We start from the raw sequence: 27,048 nt of genomic DNA on the forward strand, positions 1-27,048 counted from the left end.
TTTTTTGTGCAGTTAGAATTAGTGATCTTTGAGGAATATTGGGAATAGTTGGCTTTTCACATATTGATAACTGCTTCTTGATTTATTGTTTATCAGTGCTCTAAACAGGGTTTGGAAAATATTTGGAACTGATTCCTTTTATTTGCATATATGATATATCCCCATGTGTATTAGTTTTCACACTGCTGATAAAGACATACTCAAGACTGGGCAATTTACAAAATAAAGAGGTTTAATGGACTTACAGCTCCACGTGCCTGGGGAGGCCTCACAATTATGGCGGAAGGCAAAAGGCATGTGTCACATGGGGGCCGACAAGAGAAGAGGGCTTGTGCTTTTTAAAACCATCAGATCTCGTGAGACTTATTCACTATCACAAGAACAGCATGGGAAAGACCTGCCCCCATGATTCAATTACCTCCCACTGGGTCTTTCCCACAACATGTGGGAATTCAAGATAAGATTTGGATGGGGACACAGACAAACCATATCACCATGTTTCTTACAGTGCATTGTTTTGTGTGTCTTTTCCCCTATGGCCATACATTGTGAATCCATTTAGTTAAAGCAACTGAGTGGCCATTAAATGTTTTGTGCTAAATGTAAGAGATAAAACTGGAAAAAAGAAAAGGGGGGGAGGACAGTGCAAGATATCAGCCCTTGTTGCCTAGTCAAGAAACAGAGGAATCGTGAAAGAAAGCTTATTTTCCATGTTTGCAATTCCTGGGAATGACCAAACTGGTTTTGCAAACCATGTGAATTGAGTCCATGTGTATGCTAGGGGTGAGGGAGTTATTGAGACTAGTTTATTTGAGATATTCTGGGTGTCTTTTACTTTCTAAATATTCTTACTCCTTTTCTTATGGGGGAAAGAATTTTATGCAATAGACTTTCATTAAATTGAATTTTCACAACCAAATTGAAGCTGTTATCAGTTGGTTGAACTCTTGCTAACTGAATGACTATAAGGACAGGTTTCAATTTCTTCTTATTTAAAGAGTCTGATTTTTTTCAGCTGCTATTTTTTTTCCTCATATTTTCATGTTGCCTTTATCCAGTTGGCTGTTTACATTGTCAGTAATAAGAGTTAGAACTTCTAAGTGTGACATGTGTTTTTTATTTCAAGGACTTCTACTAAAATTGTTTCTTTTGCATGCATGCTATGGAAGGCTTGCTTAAAAACTTTGAGAAGACTCTAAGTAGAGCCCAGAATTTCGCTAAGAATGTGGACCTTTTCTTTGGTAAGTTGGCCATCCTGTAGAAAGCGAATGGCAGTTTCCTAAAGAAAACCCTAATATGGCTTCTTTGAAAAAAAATTGCCAACATGCAGTGCCAAATCGTATTTAGTAAAACCTTGTCCCCAAATAAAACCAGGGAAATAGGCACAAAGAAGAGAAACAGGATACATCAGTGCATGTTGCAGGAGGGTTGGATTTGTTGAAAGATTAATCATAAAGTATGTGGACAAAAGTGAATTAAGTAAGTATAAGATACAATGTCACTACCTATTTATTCATCTTTTAGCTAAATATATGCCTTCCCATGTCTGCGGACTTTTCCTCTCTTATTTTGACCAGCGCCAGCTCACCTCTGCTGGTGCCCACACTGGATCATGCTAAATTCAGGTCAGCATGCAAAGGGAATCAGCCTGCTTAGCTAGTGGATTTTCTAGGCATAATTTATACATACATAATTTTTAGTGTCAGGCCAAGCATTTTCATTTTTATAATTTCTTCTTTCTGATAGTAAACCATTTAATTTGGAGCAAATATAAATGATTCCTAATGAAGCACAAGTGAACAGAAGGAAATTACTTTTGTTAAACTAGTACTTCAATGTATTTTTCTCTCCCTTTCAAGTAGAGGATGACTATGAGAAACTGATACACAGTATTATTCATTATCTGGTTAGTTCACTAGATCAAGATGTTGATGTGTGGTGTAGAAAGGTGGAAAAAGTTAGAGAGTTAAAAACAGGTTGATACAAGCTGTTGAGAAAAAAAAATACAATGAGGCTACTTATGTTTTAAATCAAGAATATGTTTTCAGTGAAAATACTCTCTAATGATTCACAGAAGAATGTCAACTTGGACTACATCTGCTGAAAATCAAAGTGTAAGTAGTTATATGGCATTGAATTCTGGCAGGAGTCTATGCTGTGATATGAAACGAAAGTTCCCATCAAATGACAATACTTTATTTTTCTGCCTTTAAGAGTAGTTTTCTGACTTTAAAAAATGTTAACAGCATTTTTTCTCCTTCACATTACAAAGATAAATTGGCAACGTGCCTGTATGATTTCCAGAGTAGGTTTCTTAAAATAATTTTGATGGGAAGGTAATTGTTTAATGTCAGTGTATAAAGTTCTCCCATAGTTTAAACAAAATTAAATAAGAGAAAACACAAAGAGGAGGTTTTGTATAATTACTGGGAAAACATAGAAGGAACAATTAGGTAGTTAGACCTGAAAAGAAGTGAACTAGGGTTTTCAAATTTCATACTATTTATAGGGTTCCTTGCATTATTCTCTGACATCACTTGATTTTTTTGTTTCTGAGTTTGCAAATCAGAATAGCAGCATATTTATCCATTAATACATATTTATAGCTTTTTGCACTTATATATTTTCTATTCAAGAGTTTCATGATAAAATGAAATACACTGAATACATATTATGTGCAAAACAACACCATTACAAAAGTATACACTGATACAGATGCGAGTTAGAAAATTATATGCGGTGGGGCGTGGTGGCTCATGCCTGTAATCCCAGCACTTCTGGAGGCCAAGGTGGGCGGATCAAGAGGTCAGGAGTTCGAGACCAGCCTGGCCAACATGGTGAAACCCTGTCTCTACTGAAAATACAAAAATTAGTAGGGTGTGGTGGCGCACGCCTGTAATCCCAGCTACTCCGGAGGATGAGGCAAGAGAATTGCTTGAACCCGGGAGGCGGAGGGTGCAGTGAGCTGAGATTGCACCACTGAACTCTAGCTTGGGTGACAAAGCAAGACTCTGTCTTGAAAAAAAAAAAGAAAAAAAAAATTATATGCTTATATTGCAAGCCGCTTTGCATAAATAATCTGTTCTAATATAGGATTCATTTAGCAAAATTCATGAAAATAGACATAGTGTTTGTGCCCTGAACATCATATTGAAGGGTATCCCAGTCAATTAAAGGATAGTAATAAAGTATAAAAATTATTATTGATTACCTTATTTTTTTACAGTGTTATTTTTAAATACCTTGGAGATATCTTAAATTGTTATTTAGAATGTACAATTTAACATAAATTTAACTGAAGTTGGGACCTGCTTTTTTATGTTAAATTGTAGACTTTTTCTTACTCAATTGCCATAAATTCTAATAAATTCTAACTTTTTTGCATAACAGTGGAGAGAAAGTTTGAAATGGTTCATATGAGCAGCTTTGATTTTGGAATGAGACTGGGGACACAGCTCAAGGTTTCCTATTTTCTCCTGTCCCTCTCTTCTGGAATCAACCCAAGTGCCCATAGTGAATGAATCGGTAAAGAAAATGTGGTATATGTATACAATGGAATATTATTCAGCCATAAAAAGAATTAAATCCTGTTATTTGCAACAACATGGATAGAACTGGGGGTCATTATTTAAGTGAAGTAAGACAAGCACGGAAAAGCAAGTATCACATATTCTCACTCCTATGTAGGAGCTAAAAAAGTGGATCTCATAAGGATAGAGAGTAGATTGTAGATTGGTGTTTACCAGAGGCCAGGAAGGGTAGGAAGGAAGGAGGGATCCAAAGATTTTGGTTAATGGGTACAAATATAAATTAGATAGAAGAAATAAGAGCTGGTGTTCAACACGTCAGTAGGGTGAGTATAGTTAATATTAATCTATTGTACATTTCAAAATCTCTAAAAGAGAATAATTGGAATGTTCCTAGCATAAAGAAAATACAAATATTTAAGATGATGGATATCCCAAATACCCTGATTTGATTATATGAATGTATCAAATTATCACACGTACCCTCAAAATGTGTCCTTCTGTTACGTACCAACTTTAAAAAGAAAATAACATCATATAACAACTATAGCCCTTAGATGCAAAAAGACCTGAGTGCAAATATCATTCCCTTTCTTACTAACATCTAAGTTTCATATAGTCTTTTAGCTTCATCGTTTAACCCCGAAATCTGGTACCATCCTCTTCTATTTTCTTGATGACTAAATTAGATGGCATTATGTGTACTGTTTGACACATAGTTAACACTCAATGAAAGATAGTTATCTTCAGCCTTTGTACAAATAACTCTAGAGAAATATTAGTTGACCTATTGAAATGTGGCACAATCCAGGGCTCACCCCTCTCAGGATCATTAGCATTAGATTGAGGGTATTTCCCTGCATACCTCTCTCTAATACCAGAAACTCAATATTTTAGTAGTCACAGGGAAAAGATGATAGCAACAGTGCCATGGGTGAACTGTACTCTTTTTCTGTTCTTTGAGCATAACCATAATGAATCAAGAGGAAAAGGGGAAGGAACTGAGGAGTTGCCCACCAGCTGTTTCTACTGACTGTGGGAGGAATTTCCTTTGCTCTTTTGTTCTAAAAGATATCTAGATCATTTCAGCAAAAACCCATATTTTTAAATCAAAAAAAAGATCTATATGATTCTAGGGACACAGACACACACACACATACACACACACATACCCCTTCTTTACACCATTGTAGAATTGTAAAATTAACACGTACAGCTACCAAAGATTGCATCATGACACAGAAGGATTTCTAATGGCAGTACTTAATACCTCTCCAAAATACCTTAAGAGGGAAAACCACTTTGGTACATCTGTTGTCACTGAGTGGTGAGCACTTCTTATATTATCTTTATTCTCTAAGTAGTTGCTCTTCGTTATTTATTCATTGGCTCTCTAAATACAGCACTTACCCTTTTTATTCCCTGTCTGATTTCTAAAAATGGAACATTCATAAAATAACTCAGTATTATATAAAAATTTCTAAAGTGAGAATCTAGCTATATATCTGGAGGCTTAAACTCACATTGTTTTGTTACCAACACAAATGTTGAAATCTACTGAAAGAGTGTAGTCAACTTTTCCCTGAGCAAATTCATTTTGATGAGGCACTGTGGGAATTTTTGTCTGGAACTGGGTGTCATATGCTTACATCTCTGTCTAGGCTACTGATTCAGGGAGCTGTGCAATATAAAGATGAAATGTGATACACACACACACACACACACAGCCAGGAGAAATAAAATGTGAACCCAAAAGAATAACAGAATGAATCTATTTGCAAATGTAGTAAATTCCCATGTTTATAGAGAAACAAGAGGGAGGGTAACAGGGGACAAGACCAGTAAGAATTAGGGAAGCACATGGCTTATAGAATTGTTCATTATCTGATGTTTCCATGAATTGTGACACTCTAGGAGTGGAGTCTCAGCCCCTCCAGCACCCACTCTACCAACTTGGGCCCTTCAGTGCCTCGGTTTTATCATGGGGCTAATAACAATGCCTGCTTTCTACAATTGTTATGAGGATTAAATTAGCTATAACTAAAACACTTCCAGCAGCATCAAGTGCTATTTTTATTATTTCCATTACTAATTTTGTGTTTATGCATTTTGTGGAAAAGGAAACATGAACATTGTGTGGTTCAAATAGCCAAAAAAAAATTAAAATGTGATTACACTAAATTAGAATTTATGTGATTTTATTGCACCTGAAGGTTAACATGATTCTGGGATTCTAATAACAAAAAAGCTTTAAAACCATCTTGATTTGTTTATACAGAAAAACAGGAATTGGCCTGATAGAGAATGAAAACTATGAAATAGCTGGCTGTCTTGCTTTATTGATATTTTTCACAGGCTTTATTTAACTCCCAAAGACCTAGCCTAAACAATAGTATTTTTAGAGGACATAGTCACATAAATAATCTTTCTCATTTTGCTCTAAATGCCTGCTTTAACCACAGGGGGAAAAAATACAACTTTGTTCTTGTATGTTTAAGTCAAAGATAGTACACATAGTATATAATGTTAATTCCATATTAAAATGACCATTTGAAGAAAGTGTTCATTAAGAAAGATTACATTTACTTCAAGGAATTTTCTTGATATCAAGCAATATTTATTTTTCATAATTGAGCTTATGTGCCTAAAATAATCCACTCAAATCTGGATAAATCATAGTCTTCTATTTGCACATTCATCAACTAAACTCTCATATAAGGAAGGAAGCCACTCTACAAGTCATATTTCTGAACTGGGAATTATCTTTTCCTGTCATGTTTTTTGTTTTTGTTTGTTTGTGTGTTTTTCTTTGAGATGGAGTTTCGCCTTTGTTACCCAGGCTGGAGTGCAATGGCATGATTTTGGCTCACCACAACCTCTGCCCCCAGAGTTCAAGCAATTCTCCTGCCTCAGCCTCACGAGTACGTGGGATTACAGTTGTGCGTGTGCCACCACACCTGGGTAATTTTGTAGTTTTAGTAGAGATGGGGTTTCTCCATGTTGGTCAGGCTGGTCTCAAACTCCCGACCTCAGGTGATCCACCCGCCTCAGCCTCCCAAAGTGCTAAGATTACAGGCGTGAGCCACTGTGCCCGGCCTCCTGTCATGTATTTTTAACAGGAGTGTCTCAGGAATTTAAGCCCTTTATTTGGACTGACTCCCCTGTTCACTTATTTTTCTCAGTTCAGTGAGTGTTGCCAATAAGAGAGAGATTAGACAAAAAAGACAAAGCACATCATCTCTTTTCTAATGTGGATGTTACTCAGTGATGAGGGGAGAGCAGATAAGATCCCCAGTTACCAAAGCGATTAATAACATCATTCTGTCCATTCACACTCATTCAGCCAGTGTTTATTGAAGAGCTTTGTTTGTCTCTGTCACTGTGATCCTACAGGAAAGACAATACCTCCTCTTAACCAAGGTTGACAAGTAGCTACTCCTAGTTTAATAATTTTTGTAAAACTTTCAGAGCTGTTTTTTTTTTCGTATTACAAATTTACTACATTGGATCTACTACACTGTAGATTCTTCAGACAGAAAATACATATGGTCATGCTAAATAAAACAAAAATAATCTCTAGTTTCAGCACCCACAGTCTTCTAGTCATAGAGAGCAATTCCAGTTGTTGGCTTGAATAGTAAAGCTTTTTTCTAACACAAAACATTTGAGACTAGTAACTTCCTATGCATTTAGTTATCAGTTAATGTAAGTCTGTGTGTAATAAATACGACTTTCATTGAGTTTCGGGATGTCCTTCGTGTTCACGTGTAGCCCTGCCTCATCACCCACCTTAAAGTGGATTGCTTGTATCCAGTTTCTAGTCTCCTTGGCTCTTCGCATGAGGAGAGAGAGAAATGGGAAACCCTAATTCCCTGTTCACTTGATTCAACATCTACGATTTCATTCTATTTTAAAACTCTACCCTGGCAGTACCCTGCTTACTCATTCGTAGCTGCCTTCAGACATGCTATTCTCTGCTTGAACATAGTCGCTCTTAGTTCCTCAACTTTTATTTTCTCACTTAAGAGCCTGCTTCACTGAGAATCATTTCCTAGTGTCATGATTCTGAGGTGCCTTTTCCATCCACTCCTTCAGGCTCCTGTGCTCACCATGCCATGGCCTCAACACACTGTGCTAGAATATTGTTTTACCCCCTGACTCCCTAACTGGACTTTGAGTTGGTAGGTAGCATTTTATCTGTCTTCCAAGGATCTTAGCCATCTCCTGGCACATGGAAGTGGTCATAAAATATCTATTGGATATATGAATGAATAAATGGACTGACATCTTGTGGCAACATCCTTTCCCCCAGTAAAAACCAGAATGGAATATACTTCTTATAGTCCAGTGGTTCTGACTGAATAACATATTTATTTTGGTAGCAGAAAATGCCATTGTTTGGGAAAACTCAAGGCCATCTACTAACTTCTTTATTCTTGCATTGTCGTGATGATGTGACTGATTTCCACAGATCTCATAAAAATCATTCTCGGTATTCTATATTCTATTTCCTATGTATGAAAGGTGAATACTCTTGAGTCATTAATTCAACAAATTAATTCAACAGTTATTTATTGAATGTCAATTATGTTCCAGGCACAATTTTAGGTGGGGCTACAGCAAAGTATAAAACAGACAAAAGTTTCTCCTTTGGGGTTTACATTCCAGTGGAGAGAGGCAAGCAATAATAAAGATTAATATACAAAACAGTATATTAGAGGTGGTAAGTGCAATGGAGAAAAAGCAGGAAAAGAAGAGAGAGAATGAATGGGGGGAAGGGGGTGACAATTTTGCATTGCCTGGCCAGGGAAGGCCTTAGTGAGAGCTGGGTCTCACTAAGGAGGAAATGAGGGCTGGGTCATGCAGCTGTCTGGGAGAAGAGTCCCAGGAAGAGAGAACAGCATGTGCAAAGGTCCTGAGGTGAGAGCATGTCTGTTGTATTTTAGGAACTGTGTAGTCAACTGGAGAGCAGAGAGAATGCTGCTAAATTCTATTATCTATCTATCTACCTACCTACCTACCTACCTATCTTCTATCTATCTATTTAGTAACATTGTATCAGATTACTTTATATATATATTGTATAGGCTGTCAAACTTCATTCATATTTTTATTTACTAATTGACCAGGCAGTTATTTACCACCTACCATGGGCCAGGTTCTATCTTAGGTATTTTAAGGAAAGTAAAATCTATTAGATATAGTTCTTGCCCAAAAGAAGTTTACGAAATAATCAGAGATAAGACACATACAGGACTCATGACACGAGATGAGCTCTCATAAGGAAATGACTACTCATTGGCCAGAGAAACAGCTAGAGAATGACATCTGGGCTTCTTGGAAGAGATGGCATCAAACTGCACCTTGAGAGGCATACAATGCCAACGGCACATCATATGCAATGGTGTAAACGGGGGCACACCCACTGAGTCACTGGCAGTGCAGGATCTGTGAAGGCAGGAGTGATAGGTAAGGTCAAAAGGAAAGCTTTGGTCAGCATTTGAAAGCCTTTGAATGAGTATATATTTTGTGAATTCTCTTCATTAAAAATGTTCTAAGATTTGTCATGATGTTCAGTGCCTTGGTCTTCATAATTCTGTGTTGCCCTCACCTAATTGCCAGCATATTTTAGTTAAATTCAATTAGATATTTCAGTTAGCTATATACATTTTTCAGATTGAAAGCTGTTAACAGGTTGTATAAAACCTGTTTCTTATACTTTAACAAAATAATTTCCAAGTGTACTATGCGATTTTTAATTCTAGAAGGTTTTCTATTAAAATGAAAATGAAATGTATGAAATCTGTCTCTTATTATTTCAGTCTTCTATAGGTTTTCGAGTGTAAATTAGGGAGAAATGCAGAATAATTTAAAATTAAAGTTACTTATAGAGAAAGCTGAATAGAAAAATAATGTGTATATAGCATTTGTTTTTCTAGAATAAAGTAAGCACTTATTTAGCTTTTAGGTTTCAACTATATTGTCTTTCTCTTGAGCAGATTTTACATAGAGCTGGTATGACATATCTCAGTGTAATACATAATATATTACTAATGTCTTTAAATTCAGAAGATAAGAAAAAACTTTGAGATCAAGTTTTTAATTTGGGAAAGGTCTAATTAAACTCCTTACATTGGGATATTTGAGTTAATTGTTAAAGTGCTAATTCAGTTTATCAACCACTTGTTATCACATAGTTTTATCAACCTACACTGTGAAATAAAGGAGTCTAGGGTTTTTTTTTTTTTTTTTTGGAAGGAAACGTATTTATCGAAAGAGATTTATTTAGATTATTCTACATATTCTCTGGGAATTTGTAGTGTTTCTTAAAGTTGGACTAAATGTTGAATGGGAGGATAGGAGGAGAAGGCGATGGACCCTACAGGTGCAAACTCTTTCCAAATCACCAGGGCTTTGGCTGTTACTCACTCACCCCCGCCTTCCTTGCTCTTGGAGCCTTCAGATTTTTCCCCAGTAGCTTCACCTTACAGCAAGCTTAGCAGAAGCAGTTCCACAGCATGCCAACCCCCCTCACTTTTGAATAATCCAGAGACTCCCTGTGCCACAGATAACATGCAATCATAAATCTTCTCAGCTTCAGCAGTTTTCGTCTTCTAAATTCAATTAAGTTGAGCCCAGTAAGAATTTGTGGATCAAACAGTGAGCTCTATATAGATTCAAATTCAACTTAGGGTTCTGATGTTTGTTACTAATTTTCAGGAAAAAAAAATAAAAGAAAAATACTGCTGCTATTTTCTAAAGCTTCCTTATAAAGGTATTTCTTATTGAAACCAACTCATATTTCTCAAATTCCTAGACCACTATCTGTCATGCAATTTGAGTCTGTTTTCCAAATGGTAGAGTGCCAGAGAATCAAAAGCTGCTTGTTTTGCTTGCCTGATTTTCTTTAGCATTCTTTGGAGGATTTAAAGTATGGGGGGAAGAAAAGGAAACCTGACTTACATTAAGAGCTGAACATGAAAAAGGGATTAGGCAAAGCTTTAACTTTTTCATTATGCAAACTTTCCTGAACTATAATACATATCTTTATAGAGTTTTATTAATTGTTGGGGCTGCAATTTGGATTTTGCTAAAAAGTATTTACTACTAAAAACTTCAAGGTTGTTACTAAACACATCAATCATTTTACATTTGGCCCCTTTGCATGGTGAACAGACCGTCCTTCCTCCATCTTTTGTTGGGGAATACCTGGCTGAAGGTCTCAGTGAAAAGCTAGGAAGATACTCCTCCTCTGAGGGAGACATCTGGCTTCTTGGCTGATTCCATGCACACTTTTGTTAATGGGCTCAGATTCCCCAGAATTCTTTTATGTGGTTACATTGTAGATGGACTGTCTGCATAGTCTTGTCCTCTTGAATGATTTATGTAGAGGTTAAAAATACATATATATTTGGTCTGGTTCTTAGAATCTACGCATAAGATTAAATGAATCTCAGCAAGTTCAGTTTTGGAAAAAAAAATTAAATTTATTATTACAAAGGCAATCTAGTAGAGGATGTAGATTCTCGAGCCAGAATGCTTAATTTGAAACATGGATTTGCCACTTGCTAGCTATACAGTGTTGGACAAGTTATTTAATCTCTTTGTGCCTTCTTGGTTTCCCTAACCACATACAGGATGATAATAACAATATCTACCTCATATGTTTCCATGAGGTTTAAATGGTTTACACTGTCAAAGCTTTTAGGACAGTGCCTGGCGCGACTAAGTACTCAGTGAGTGTTAGTCATGATGTCATGATTATTCATGGTATTCACCAGACAAGAATATGTTCTCATTTGTGTATGATTTAGGATTAAATTTGGGACTAATATTGAGTGGTTCAATGCTAATTTTGATAAGGCTCATGGAGGTGTGTGGTCACTTTTAGTGGAGAGTAACTTTAATTCCTTTTTACATAGTGAAAAAAAGAGTTCACCTTCCACTCACTAGACTTGATTTTGCAGACTCCCTGTTCTGATCTGGATTTTATTATGAGTGAAATGAAGTTAGTGACTCAGTGGTCCATAGGTCATTAGTCTGTAGCTGCTCTGTTACATGGAAAAGTCCTGAATGACAAAGGTCTACTCAAGGGTGGGTTGGCAAGGTAATTTAGAAACCTGTATTATTCCCAACCAAAATTGGAGCATAAAACCTTCTATTCACTATCCAAAAAGGAAGTGAAATCAGCCCCACATAGAGATGTATGCACTCCCATGTTTATTGCAGCGTTATTCACAATAACCAAGATATGGAAAACAGTTGAAGTGTTCATAGATGGTTGAATGGATAAAGAAATTGCAAAATATATACACACAAAAAAAGAAGTGTTATTCAGCCTTAAAAAGGAGATTATGCCATTTGTGACAACATGGATGAACCTGGAGGACATTATGCTAGGTGAATATGGCAGACGCAAAAAGAAAAATACTGCATGATCTCACTTATATGTGGAATACACGTACTTTCTATAGATAGATAGAAATTGTATATAATTTCTGTTCCCTTCCTCAGGGTAATTTAAATGGATATTTTAAAATAGAGGGCTATTAAGCTGTTGAAACATTTCAAATACAACTATAACCTATGTATATCTCTATATGTGGAATCTAAAAATAAAAAAGTCAAATACATAGAAACAGAGGGTAGAATGGTAGTTACCAGAGATGGGAGGAGGGATCAGGAGGTGTGGATCAAAGTTTACAAAGTTACAGTTATGTACGATGAATAACTCTAGAAATCTAAAGCACTGGTGTGAAGATTATAGTCAATAATACTGTAATGTATACCAGAAATTTATTAAGAGTATGGATGTTAGAAAATCTTTCACAAAAAAGAAAGGTGACTGTGAAAGAAATGATATGTTGATTGTCTTATCATTTTACTAAGTATATGTGTATGAAAACATATGTTGTACACCTTAAATATATGTCCTCCCCCCATATAAAATTTCTGTTCCCTTCTTCAGAGTCATTTAAGTGGATATTTAAAAAATAGAGTTATTAAGCTTTTGAAACACTTCAAATACGTCAGCCTATGCATATTAAAATTTTAATGCAGCAAATTTACTAATATTTGCAAAACCAGTTTAGATAGAGATAATATATAGATATATAGTCAGATTCTGACCATGTCCTAAGTGTTCTTAGTATCTATTGATGAATAGATTTCATTAATTTAATGAGATGATAGTATACTAAAACTTGTCTAAGTAAATGGTTGGCGTCCTTGAAACTTCCTATTGAATACAACATGAGTAAAATGTTCGTGTAAAGTAAATATTTTTCAAATAGGGATGTGTTATTGGTGTTTCTTAAATATAGATTACTTGCTGCTGCTTTTTAAATTGGATATAAACTTTAAAGTGAACAGCATTGTAGGAAGTTGAAGAGGAAGAAAATATATTATTTTGAGAAGGTATTATTTAAATCTATATAAATCCAACTTAATTAAGGACATTGGATAATTACTATTAAGGTCACAAATTTATAAAAATTTACAAACTAACATGAAGTTTAACAGCTTTATTCAAGAGTAAAGTTCATGAATTGACTGAAAGAGCTCCTCCTAACCAAAAAAAAAAAAACTTCTGTATTTTTCCATAGAACTAAGGTCTTAATTCCTTCTATCAATCATGTGTTTTCCCCGTTTGCATTGAAGGCTCCCTACTCTGTCCTGCAGCAGCAGTCCCTCCTGTTGGCAGGGCTTTTCTCTCCTCCTGGGGGCTTCCTGCAGTCCACTTCAAACAGGGCTCTGGTTCCCTAGCGGGCCTGTTAAATTATTACCCTCAGGTGTTGATTCATCCTTGGCATTGTTGCATTTTACCATTTTGTAGTCTTCAGGCATGGGGGAAGGGGAAGAGAGTTGAAGAAGATCAAAGTAGCAGTACTGAAGTTGGAGCTTTAGAGGTGGGGATGAGCCCTCAGCCCCTCTGCTGTTCCTCCCTGCCCTTCCCCCGCCTGACCCCAGCCTACCCCCACCACCCCCTGACTTTCTGCCCTCTCAAGCCTAATCAGAAGACAGAGGGGGCTATGTGCTTGAACTGTTTACTTACAAGCACTTTATTTTTACTTTTGCATACAAGCAACAAACGGTTTAACACTACATGATGTTTTATTGTATAGTACAACTGTATAAACAGAAGATAACAGATGAGGACTTACTATTTTTTTGATTCGGTGGTTTTTGAACATACACTCTATTCTCTGTAAGACACTGTGGGGGAAGGTTATGATGAGCAAGAGACTCCTTGTTCCCAGGCAGTGCTGAGTGAAATAGTTAATAAATTTTTATGGAGCGGGACCCAATTATTACTTGTGTTATAGAGCACAAATATGAAACTCCATGAGAAAAGCACATCAAAGGGAAACACCAGCATGGTTTTTAAATATCTGTAATCAGTAAAGTATTGCATGTTCTTTTTAGAAAATCAGAAAATACTCAATTTATTAAACTAAAAACACAGTCACTCTACCCAGAGTTAACCACACTTTGGCACATTTAATTTTCCATATATGTGTGTGTGTGTATCTGTATATCTGTCTATCTATATATATATATATTCGGTCTTTTTTTAATTTTTGTTTCATAAAATGTATGACTCAGTCTATCTTGCTTTTTAAAAACTCTACATTATCTTATGAATATTTCACCATAGAATTGAAAGTTATTTGCATAATATATCAGAGCACATAATAATTTATGTATGTAATCATTTTCTTATTTGGGGATATTTCTGTTCCTTTCAGAATTTGTCCTCTTATAAATAATTCATTGAATATATTTGTGCATAAATCTTCTCATATTCCTGATTTTCTTAGAGTGAACTTCTAGAAATGCAATTTCAGGTCAAAGGTCATGCATATTTTAAAGCTCCTGAACATTTTGCCAGATAGCATTCCATCAAGCTTATACCATTGAAAAGTCAAAGCCAGCATGGCAGAGGAGTTCTTGTCTCATGCCTGTCAGCACCTTGTTTTGTCATTGTAAACTATAATTGTTGCTGTTCTGTTCCCTTCTTCAAAGTCATTTAAATGGATATTTTAAAAAGTAGAGGGTTATTAAGCTTCTGAAACACTTCAAATACAACTTCAACCTATGCATATCTATTAAAAGTTTAATGCAGCAAATTTACTAATATTTGCAAAACCAGTTTAGACAAAGATAATATATAGATATATAGCCAGATCATGACTTTCATGATGTAAGTGTTGGTTAAGTAAAAATTATGAGTTTTTTAGTTTGGCAGATTTTTAGTTTATTTTTAAAAGTACAATATGCAAACAGAAAATTATACATATCATAAATATGCAGTTTTGTGAATTTTCATAAAACTGGATACACCCATGTAATCCGTACCCAGAGAAGACATCGAATGTGATCAATTCCCAGAATCCTCCCTCATGCCCTCTTCACAATCATACCCCTTCTTCCTGACTTTCAACACTGTAGATCAATATTGCCTGTGTTCTACTTTGTATAAATGGAATTTCGTGTAATGTATGTATTTTTTGTGTGTCTGGCTTCTTTTGCTTAACTTTGTATTTGTAAAATTTATGCATTTTGCTATGTGAGAGCATGTGTTTGTTATAGTCTCCATTCGTTTTTGTTTTGTGGCCCTAATGTTGAGTGAGACCTCATTAAGATGTCATGTCTTGATACACCTTACATGGTCTCTGAATGATCTTTGCTTGTTTCCTATTCAGCATAGATCTCATGGCTCACCTTTTCAACCACTAATCTTCCAACAGTCTTAAGTTCCTGTCTCCTTTTCTCTTCATCTTCTTTACATTGTGGCCTTTGGCTGCTGGTTGTTTTTGCTGTCCTCTTCATCGGACTTCCTTTGGTGGGTTTGAAGTGGCTATTTCCATACTCACCACAGCCCAGCAGCTGGATGTGGTAAGGACAGGGAGAACAAGCCTGCACACCTCTCTTACACTCCCTTCCATTAGATAGGATGCAGTCATGTGTACACTTACATATAAGAGATATTCTAAAGTACAGAATTATGGTTGGGGGCCCAGGAGCACAACTTAAATCCTATTTATTGCAAAGGAAGAAGGAAATCATAAAATACTGGGGATAACTATGAAATGTGCTAGAAAACTCTACCAATTTGTTCTTTATTCTCAGCTAGGCCATTAATCCTGCCTGGAAATTATTCTGTTTCACAGACAACTCTCTTTTATTTCTAATAGTATTTATTTAAAAACTTCTCCACTCTCCTTAAACTTACTATGTTTCATCTTGCCTTCATAGTTCCACATTTGAAGGTCCTGACTCCCACTTCACGGATAAATTAAAAGCCTGTCTATTGTGCCTCATTCTGTAAATGGCCAATTCTCTCTATATATATTCTGGGTCTCCTACCATTTCAGAGGTTACCAAAAACTTTTGTGTTAACCCAGTGATTTTTTTTTTTTTTTTGGGCCTTTACTTTCTTAACCTCTGCTAAATTTATCACTATTGACGTGTTAACTACTTCTTAAAATATTCTTTTTTTAGCTTTCTAAGACAGTATCTTTCTGGCTTTCCTGCCATCTTTTGATTCTCTTTTTTTCTGATATCATGTATATGTTCCTCTTTTATGCTTATCCCTTAAGCAATGTTGCTTCCCAGTGTTCTATCACTTGTATCTTTTTACTTACCACACTTTTCTGGGGTGACCTCTTCCATACCCATAGCTTGAATACCCAGTATATGCTGGTGAATCTTAAATCTCTGTTTCCAGCATAGATCTCTTCTGTGAAGCTTCCTGCTGACTGCTGGATATCTCTACTTGCATATCCCTTGTGCACCTTAAACTCAACATGTCCAGAATTGAACTCACATGCATCTGCAAAGATTCTCCTCTTTCTTTTCTTCTTATCTTGGTGCATCGTGCCTTCTTCATCACAGAAATCTGGATGTCCATCCTGATTCTTTTTTCATGCTCTCTCCTCGTATTTAATCAATCACAATTCCCTAGAAAAATGTGTCTTCTTAAAATTTCTAGAATCTATTGACTTTCATTGATCTCTACTGTTACTACTCCAGTTCATACCCATAATCTGTCACCTTGGTAGTGGAGTCTCTTGATCATTTCCCTGCATGTGGTTTTCTCTTCTAATCTATGCATCCAGACATGTAAGACCCCCATGGTGTGGTGCCTGCTGACATTTCCACCTTCTTCTCCGATCCTCCATGTTCTCTATGCTCATCTCCATGTCTTGGTTTTTACATGTGTTGCCCACTCTGCCTGGAATGTCCTACATTTCTTTGTCTAGCTTCTGTTTAGATTTCGAAAAAAAAGGTAACAGTTTTCTCTGCCAACAACCTTTGTCTGACTCACACACTCCCAAGGTTTCATGAAGAATCCCTCGTATGTATTCCCCAAAGCTTGCCGTTATGATAGATTACTTAGAAAAATGTATTTTAATTTTCTACTGATTTGATGTTACCTTTACTAGACTTTGAGCTTCTCATTCCTCACTGTATCTATAGATGTTATTTAAAATATTTAACACGAGATACAGCATTGGCATGGATCCAATAGAAAGAAGGGTGGGGCCCTTTGCTATGCCAGGCTATATCTCTTCAATTCACTGGACTTCACCTGGCTTCCTCCTTTCTGCACCATGGCCTGAAAATTTTCCCCAGGGGGTAAACTGGAGCAATCATAGGGCTCACCAGATTTGTTTTCCATTTCCCAGGGAGCACTGTCTCATGCTGCCTGATGTTCAATATCTTGAGAAACATTATTATCTGTATTTTATTTAGTTCTTTTTAGTTTTTTTCAGGTGGAAAGATAAGTTAGTTCCCTGTTACTCCATCTTAGGTAAAAGCAGAAGTTACACCATGTCTGTTACCTGTTTGAGGTGGGTGACGTTATATGTCAGTTATGGACTTTTATTGATATACTTAGAGAATAACTTAAAGATGAAGGGACATCAGAAATAAGCATTTCTGGAGCCTTTATTTTATGCCATATTTTTTATGTACATGAATTTATTTCATCCAATTTGGTAAATCTTATTGTCCTGTTTTACAGATGGGCAAATTGTAACTAACCCTGTAACTAACCAAAGTTCACAAAGCTAGTCACATCCAGCTTTCAAACTCAGGCTTGGCTGCTATCAAACCTGCCTCCTTTCTCACTTACCCACACTGCTGGTTTGGTAAATTCCAGAGCCTTATTGTATTGACAAAGGACCTCATTACTGGGTAGGTAAGTGATCCACTAGAGTGAAACTGTGCCTTGGTCCTGAGGTGAAGCGAGTCTTTTTACCTATCTTCTTTTTTGTAAAACCCTCCAGTAGTTCCCCATTCCTCTCAGAATAAATGCCCAAGAACTTACAATAGTCTGAAAGTCCAATGCAGCCTAGCCCCCCATGATATCTTTGGCTCCACTTCCTCCTCTTCTCTCACTGCTCGGTCTTTTCTGGGCTGCTGGCCTTTGCTCTGTCTGAGCCTGCCAGACGTGCCTCCTCTCACAGCCTTTACGCAGGCTGTTCTGTTTGGAATTTTCTTCCCTCTGGTATCTGCATGAATGAGGATTATGAGACACATGTGCCAATTATATTTAAATTGTACCCTGCCTCCTCATCAACACTGTCGATCTCTGCTTCAGGTTTTCTCCTATAATTTACCATCTCCTGACATAATGCACAATTTACTTAGTTATTAAAGATGTGGGGTTAAGGAGTTCCAACTCCTCTGTGCACTTTTATGCACTTAGAATGGTGCCTAGTACATTGTAGGTGCTCTGTAAATATTTGTTAATTAATTAATGTCCAAGGTCCTGTGCCAGATAAGACATCTCAAAAAACTCATAGTCTAATGGGAGGAAACAGACACACAACAAGTATAAAACAGCGTGGAAGGGCAATAGTAGAGATATGTATAGGGAACATCACAAGCATTTAGTTTATTCTGAATGGCTCAATAAACACTTCCAGCAAATGGTAAAGCCTTTGCTAATCCCTTAAGGATAAGTTGGAGTCTGTCAGGTAAAAAGAGGTAAGGTTTTCCGAGTAGAGTGAATCTTTGTGCAAGGATATGGGATCAGAATCAGCATGCCTTGTAGAGGACACTAAGATGTGATACTCTGGGCAGTGAGAACTCATGGAAGGATGCTTGTTAAGGGAGTGCCATGGGCAGATGAACCTTTATGGAGGGAATACTCAGGCTACAGTATCAATAATGGATTTGAAGAAGATGAAATTGGAGGCAGGAAAGATAATGGAAGGTTGTTGCATAGTACAGGGAGGAGTTAAAATGCAGATAAAGGACTGACTCATAAAAGTTTAGGAATTTAAAGCATCACGCTTTTTTATTTGATGGGATTTGGTTAGTGAGGGAAGGGGAAAAACCAGGTGACTCCAGGAGACTGTCAGTCAGTGCCTCTTGCACATTTTTTTTCCTGAAGTCAATTAATAACTGTCTATATTGATCAAGTGTTTTGTTGATTTGTTTTGTTTGATCTATTTTAAAATCCTTACAAGGTCCCATTTTCCATGAGGAGGTTAGGAGGGGAATGAGAAAGTAAGAGAACCTATCTCTGCATCACTAGATTGAGCTTCAGATAGAATTTCAACATCATATAGATAAGATAAAGCATTACGTATATATTATATTACATTGATATCATAGAAGAGCAAAACTGCACATGCATAAGAATTTATACACCTATATTTTCGCATTGAGAATAGAGGCCCCAAATGTATTTCAGTTTGCTTGGCAGAAAAGAGTAGAACCACACTCCTTGATGTGAAATTGCATATTCTCTTTGTGTCCCTCTGCTCTTCACATACCTTGACTCACACATGAATAGGAGAATAGGGCAAAGCACCATCTCCCTATAGCGTTCAAACGGAATGTTCTAGAAATGAGTGGAGTTGGCCGGGGCCCACTGCCCTCTGTGGTTACGCCACTGTGGGTGCAGGGTAGGTTTGGGTGTATGCCGAACACCTACTGCCCATGTGAAGGAGAGCAAAGCAATCTGTTGATGAAGCAGTTTGTTGTCATTGTTCCTATTCTGATCGTTATTTGAAACAGTTGTCTTGGCTATCGATTTTTGCAATGATGTTTTTGATGTGTCATTTGAATGTGAAACTTAAAATTAAGAATATTAGAGTTGGAAGAGATCCAGAATCATTTAGAGCAAATCTACTGAATTTATTGATGGGGTAATTAAAGGCCAGAGAGGCAAAATGATTTGCTCAATGTTTGTGGCATTTCAGGCAGAACCAACACTAGACGTTAACTTCTTGGGTCATTGGGTCACACTTTGGTTCTCTTTGCACTCTGTGAGTTATGAGGCACCTAGACAAGGAAAGGAAAGCCATTTTTAGGAAGATGTGTCTGTTATTATAGTAGGTTAGGAAGGAAGATTGAAGTTTAGAAGATACTGTCGTGTTTCAGACCTGAGACAGTGAAAGAGGACCTGAATAGGGTGGAGTGAATGGGAAAAAGAAAGAAAAGGTGAATATGACATATATTCAATATATGTCAAGATAAACTCATAGGACTTGTGATGAGTTAGGTAATGCAGAGCATTTGTACTTGGTAGTTAGAATATATATGTTCTATATAGGCAAAAACACATACACACACACAACCCTCATACATATACCTATCACAGATACACTCTGTATTGGATATTCATAACATGCATATCACTAATAAAAACAAAACAAAACAGCAGTCAAAACGTTATTTTCTCCTTTAATCTTTGTAAAAACACTGAGAGATATTGTTGTTCCCTTTACATAGAAATAAGGCTCAAAGGGTTTAAATGTTTGCCTAAAGTCATAAATTAGTGTGAGGAGCTGAGGTGGGACTTGAAGACAAGTTTCTTAATTAAAATCTGTTCTTTCCACAGGCGCCCTTTCACTCACCCCAAGCATGTAGGGTCTGAATTTTCTTCTGTGGTGAATTTTTAAACCTGTTATATCAGTCTATTCCTTTATTTTAGGCAGTGCATAGTACGGCTCCTCAGAAAACATATATCCCACACCCTCTTATCTGCTTTTCCAGATTTAAGTTGCCTTAAGCTATTGGTTTCCTCTGTTTGACAGCATACACCATAGTGTTTAGAGATGTAGTGCATTATGGCATTAATTTTGCCTGGGGTCTTTCTCGAGCTATTCATCCTTCAGCAGCTGGAGGAGAGCCATATACACTCTAAATCTGTGTACTACCTAGCGAAATCTGTAAAGCCAAGCTTCCCATCCAGGTCATGATTCACTGCATCCTAGGAGTTTGTGCATAGAAGCTTGACTCTTCAGTATGGTGTCTGAGTAACAGATCACATTCTTCATGGATGTGACAGTTGTGGCTTCTCTTTGGGCTTTGTTAGGCATAGGCTAGACTGTTAGACATCTTACAAATCTCCTCTCCCCACAGTGCCTTACACAGCACCTTGTCTGTATTAATTGCTCAAAAACATTGTTGAATGCATGGTTAATGAAAGTTATTATTGGCATTATTCTGTGGACTTTTTTCTTTGACATTTAACATTTAAATATATACAGATGCATATATATACACATACATTATATATACACACAAATATTAAACTATACATATGTATTCTCCATACATTTCAAATATACATAATTGATAAGTCAGTACACAGATAAGTTGTATGAAATCTGAAACATGAAGTTAAGGTTTTGTGCAACATGAGTGCTTTATATTTTAGACAGATTAGCTGGGGAAATGGTAGTCCAGGAACTAAGCACAACTCTATAAATAAGGGCAACCAAATAGATATGAGGGATCTAGAGATAAACATTTTCAGTTTAGAATACTGTATATTTCTTTTTTTTGACATATATTTGAAAAGAGAGAAAACGGTAAACCCAGGAGCAGTAATTTCTAAAGTAATAAAGATTTACTTACATGGCCTTCTGTTCCTTTTGTTGATAAGGATGAATAGAATGATATAATGCCCTGTTCTCTCCCTCTAGTTTCTGGGCCACTGTTATATTGTCTAATAATATCCACTCATAGGACATAGGGTGGCCTTTCTCTCTTTTTATAAGGGTATAATTATCCAGTAGAAAGTCAATATTCCTTTCATCAATTTTTAAAATTACTTAATTTCTTTTGTTTCGATAGGTATAGGCCCTGCACGGCCTTACAAATGAGTAAGGGATACAGCCCAGGAGCAATGTCCAGCTGCACTGTTTTTACTTACATAAACTCATGAACAGTGTGTCAGCCAGCTTTACACACTGTGACCGTGAGGGATGTATTTTCCCAAACATTACTGATCCTTTATTGAAATGGAAAATTTAGTTTGCATGTGGAATAATTTCCCTTTGCAAGTCAATTGTGATTTATTAAATTTCCTTGTCCTTCACAAGATGTCAATGGTGTTATCTCTTGATACACCTCAGGACACGTCTTGTCTGTTTGTCGTCACTAGGCCTTCATGATATACAGCCTTTATGATATGTCTTCCTGAACTCTGAACTCTTGTAGGAAATGGATTCTATCATATAAAACTCAGTATCCTCCAAATATGCCTCAGATGAAGTAGATTTCAGATAAATATTTGTAAGTTAATGAGATAATTTTATCCTGTATGAAAATAATTCTGAAATGGAAGACAGCATGTAGATACATCGTAAATATTGTTCACTCTATGTGGACATCTCTCCATGGCAAAAGAAGACTCAGACAAACCAAACTATTATACTACCACCAAAAAAGTCTGTGCAATTAAAAAACAGTGCAACACAATGCAACAATGCATCCAGCCATGATGGTCTGAATAGGTGCAATCTCATTAAGGCAGAACACCCCCATGACTGCTTCATCTTGCATCTGTGGTGCCTAGCATGGCAGCCAGTACATGGTGGGCATTAAAGATAGACATTTATGAATGAATGAATAAGACGCCCCACATTTAAAACTCAGAAAATATGTTTTATGCTATTAGTTTTGCTTGAGGTCCCATTTAGTATGTGTTATGTGTGAAGGTGGGAATAGTGGCATTGTAAAATGGAAGGAGTACATTTTTGAGGTGATTAGCCATAGAGGAAAAGCTGTAGGAACCTATTTGGGCAAATGACACCACTGTGCAGGAAATCTCTAAGGAGATCTGTAATTCTTGGCTTTAGTACAACACCAAAAAAAAATCATCCATACCTTATTATGCAGAAATTTCCCATTATTAAGAGATGTTAATAGTGAATATGCATTCATATTCACTATTAAGAGAATGAACACTTATTCAGTATCCCCTCTGGGCAGAGCTGATTGATAAACATCCTGGTGTTAGGCAAAGACTATAGAAAGAAGGGGTACCTTGTGTAAAATGTAGGTTTTCTCTCCTGATTATGATTTTTGCCATTACTACAAACAATATGTTGCATTTGCATACAACTTACAATTTTGAAAGCATCGTCTCAAACATACATTATTCTTCACTCCATCTTCCTTGTTAGGACAAGAGCTGTTTTTCTGGTTTCATACATGAAAGCCTAAATAATGTCTCTCACCTGGGAAAAAGTAGAGACAGGACTAGAGCCCAAGCCTTCCAGGCATCCATTCTTTCTGCCTGCCCACTTAGACTTAAAGTAAGACTCTGACAGCAGGCTCTTGAATTTACCTTTGCTTATATTATAACAACATCCAAAGCAGGGACAACCTTGATGACCTTGACCAACTTTAACACTTGTGTAAATACAAGAAAAATCAACTTTGCTAAACTTGTGGTGTGCCCATAGGTGACAGTAAGCTAAAATGCTAACTCCATGGCATAACTGCATTTGCTACATGCAGACAGATAGAGTTGATGTTTGTCATGGTATGAGCCCAGGGAATCAGACAAGTACTTCTCTAAACTCTTCCCACTCAACTTAATACAAGGTAAGCAGGTCCTGCAGTAGTTCAAGGACCTGCTGCACACTGTATACAGAATAGGGTACTGTTTAACAGCCTTTTATCTGTCATACGTTTCTTTTCACTTACTACTGTTACTGTAGCCTGCCTCCACATCAAGCTTCGCTGCAGAAAGGAGATGGATAGACACCTTTAAAGAATTATTCTTCCCCCACTTCTTCCCTCCATTTGGCTTCCTCTTAGACTGTGCCTCAAGTGAAGACAAGGCTAGTTACGGCCTCATTATGCAAGAGGTCAGAGTGAGATGTGAGGTGTCTACCTTTCTCTCTAAGCAGATGCACCCAACCAAAGTGTGCAGAAAGAACCACTGCTGTTCCTACTACACGCTGATTACAGTTGCACCTGGAGCCACATTCCAGCATCAGTGTCATTCAGATCGTCTTAGTTCTATCCAAGAATTCTTGTAGAACCTAAGAAGGAGAGCTGATCAGACTACCAGCACATTAACTCAAACATGCCACGGAGTCTAAATAAATCAAGTAATATCATACTTGGGATAAGATTTAATATACTGAGTTTGTGGGCGAGCCACGATGTTTTGAATCTATTCCATATGCCTAAAATTTGGTGATGATATGTCTTATTTAGCATGAGTTCTCAAGAGTAGCCTTAGACATTGTGCATTTCCGTGTCTTGATATTTGGACATTTTCTTGTGGGTGTCCTGAAGCTCTTCCTCACTTTGAGGTGACATTGAATTGCAAAGTCTAGACTTTTCTGAAATTGAGAATTATATTATGGGATGGGATTGAAACCATGGTTTTCTATTGTTTTGCTTAAAGCTAACTTTGAACAACAACAGCTCAGCTTTAGAAGGTGTTTTGCCTATAAAACCATTCACATAATCAAAAGCTGAAGTGTATGCAGGATCAGCTTAATCAGGACAGAGTTATGGATAGCCGTATACTTCCCTAGTGTTTATAGATAGGATTGTGAATTTGGAAGGGAAACCCAGTCAGCCTAAATTACTTGTGTTATAACTGGAGAGTTCACTATTCTCCATTATAATGGGGTTTTGAAGATATGATATGCCTACAAAACTCTTTTTTGTTTTTAAACTTACTATCTTTTTTCATTAGTAAATATGTGAAAGTTTTAGTATCAGTGCTTTTTGCTTTGAAAGGGAATACAATTATTAATTTTACCCATTTCTTATTATGATATTGCAAACAGACAACAGCAGAGACAAATACACATGTGTACCCACTTGCTACCTATATAAGGCCTTATAATCATTTTATATTCACTATAGATCGTAAAAATAAACACTACAGACTCTGATGAGGGTCTCTATACTCCTCTGAGATATCGACCCCATTGCTCCTTGAGAAAAACACTATCCTGAATTTAGAAGTTATCATTCCCATAAGTGCATTCACATTATATTTTAGTACATATTTATGAATTCAGAAACAATATATAATATGCTTTTGCCAGTTTTAAAAATCCACATAAATATAAAATTGTATGCATAATGCTGTGACATTTAAAAATCTAAGATTATATTCTTTATATTTATTCCTATTAATACATGTAGCTCTAGCTCATTTATTATAACCGCTGTATAGTATTTCATTGTAATTATATGGCATAGACTATGCTCTCTTTTAGATAGACATTTAAGTTATTTCTAATTCTTAACTCTTAGAAACCATGTTATGGAATAATTTTTCTGGAGTTGAAACAGAAAAGAGGAATTTGGGGACTTAGTGCAAGGTACTTGCTTCACCATTTATTGTGTAATACAAGTTTTAATAACAGTAAATTAAAGTATTAGAATGTGTGCATTCAATAATAACATTTTGTAAAAATATTTCAAAGATTTCAATAAAAATTAATAAACACAATTGGTAGAATATCCCTCTGCCTGCTATTGGCTTTGCTGCCTCCCTAGTCTTTAGTTCCCTCAACCCAGAATACCCTTGGAATTGCCCCTTCTGACTTGGCTGGCCCTGTAAGGGCTTCCTGTCTTCCTGCTGAGTGTATGCAGCTTTGAGTGAAGTTCTTTCTGTATCTCTGGCAACAGTTTTGTTTTCTCTCTCTACCCACCTTGCCCACTCTCTGACTGCTTCCCATCCCAAAGGAGAGATGTGTTTTCAGATGGCACTTCTCATCTCTACTCAGCCTTTTTTTGGAGGGTGAGTGGCTAGATATGGGCGATGGGGAACACAAAGGGAAATGCTAAGACACAAGGGGTTTTCATGAGTGGTAAAATGACTGGAGGGTTTGCAGGAGGATCAGGGAGGAGAAAGAGTAAGGAAAGGGGAAGGAGAGAGGGAACAGGGAAAAATCTAGGAGGGGTGGACTAAGATATTATAGTTTCAAATATCAGTATTTATGCAAAATACACAAAAATATATGCTAGTACTTTAAAATGGCACCTATTAATGGAAAATTAAAAACCGGTGTTACAGTTAGTAGTAGTGTAAACACATTTTCAACTTTACTAGATAATGTAATATTTCTTTCCAAATTGGCTGTACCAATTTACATTCCCAACAGCAGTGAGAGAATTACCCATTTTACCACACTCTAGTTAACGTTTGACCTTTATTTGATTTTGTAATGTTTGCCAGCCTGATAGGTTTGATACAATGTTTCATTGTTGTTTAAAGTTATAATTCATTCACTGATTATTAGGACTGTAGTGAATACTTGTCCAGTGCATTTTTATAACTTTTATAATTTTTAAAATAAATTTTATTACAAAGGTAGTATAGTTTTATAATATCATTAAAATCATTAAAAACACAAGCAAGCAACCATCAGCCGCCACATAAACATACCTCAGTTTGACATATGTATGTGCCAATGAAGCCGTTACCACAGTCAAGATAATTAACTTATTCATCAACCCCAAAAGTTTGCTCCTGCCCCTTAATAATTTATTCCTCTCTACTTATTGTTACGGGATCTTTGGGGTGTCAATTTTCTAGCCAGAAACCTCTGTGACCGTGGCGCCTTTACCCAGGTTCTTGTCCTGCATCCAGGAAGAATGAGGTACACAGACAAGTGAAGAGTGAACAAGATAAAGATGAGTTTTATTTAGTGTCACAACAGCTCAGAGGAGACCCACAGTGGGTGGCTCCTCTCTGTAGGTATGTCATCCGTGGAGTGTTCAGTTCTCAGCAGAGAGGAGGCTCTGGAGAGAGTAGCCTGTCTCTGCAGCTGGTTGTCCAGATGGCTGCAGCTCTCAGCAGAGAGGGTAGCTCCTCTTTCTGCTGGTTGTCCTGTTGTCTCTTTGCCCCCTTCGGCCATCCTCTGGCTGTCCTATGCCCTGCTCTGGCTGAGCCCAGGGCTTTTACAGACCTCAGAGGGGAAGAGGGAGGAAGTGCCTGCCAAATGGTCCATGGGTGGCCATTGGTGGCCCAGAAGAGGCACCAAGACTCCCCACTCTGGTCTGCAGGACTGGCGTCCCAGCCCCCAGCCTTCAGGCCCTCACTGGCCTGAAAGTGGGGCCTTACTGAGGACCCTCCTCCTTCTGCTCAAGAATCAGTCTGCCTCCTACTGCCATTCATGGCCCTGGTCTCGGCCCCAACCCCTGCTCTGATCTTGGAGCAGGTGCCAGGAGCAGAGAGAGGCCAGGCAACGGGAGCAAACACCCCCCCCCCAGCCTATAAGGATGGGGG

The 27,048-nt window shown here is 37.1% G+C and overlaps 1 protein-coding gene across 30 annotated transcripts in view, besides 1 other annotated feature; it reads left to right on the forward strand.

The window, feature by feature from the left end:
• The window catches only part of EYA4 (EYA transcriptional coactivator and phosphatase 4), a 291,536-nt gene that overhangs the window by 156,897 nt on the left and 107,591 nt on the right, over positions 1-27,048 (forward strand). The window lies entirely within an intron of this gene.
• Positions 13,057-13,589: an enhancer, noted in NCBI's record as "NANOG hESC enhancer chr6:133731684-133732216 (GRCh37/hg19 assembly coordinates)". NCBI's record gives its function as "activates a minimal SCP1, AML or CMV promoter by ChIP-STARR-seq in naive H9 embryonic stem cells {active_cell/tissue: H9 hESC(naive)}" and the evidence as "EXISTENCE:reporter gene assay evidence [ECO:0000049][PMID:30033119]".

This window comes from Homo sapiens, chromosome 6 (assembly GCF_000001405.40).
Source record: "Homo sapiens chromosome 6, GRCh38.p14 Primary Assembly".
Lineage (NCBI taxonomy): Eukaryota > Metazoa > Chordata > Mammalia > Primates > Hominidae > Homo > Homo sapiens.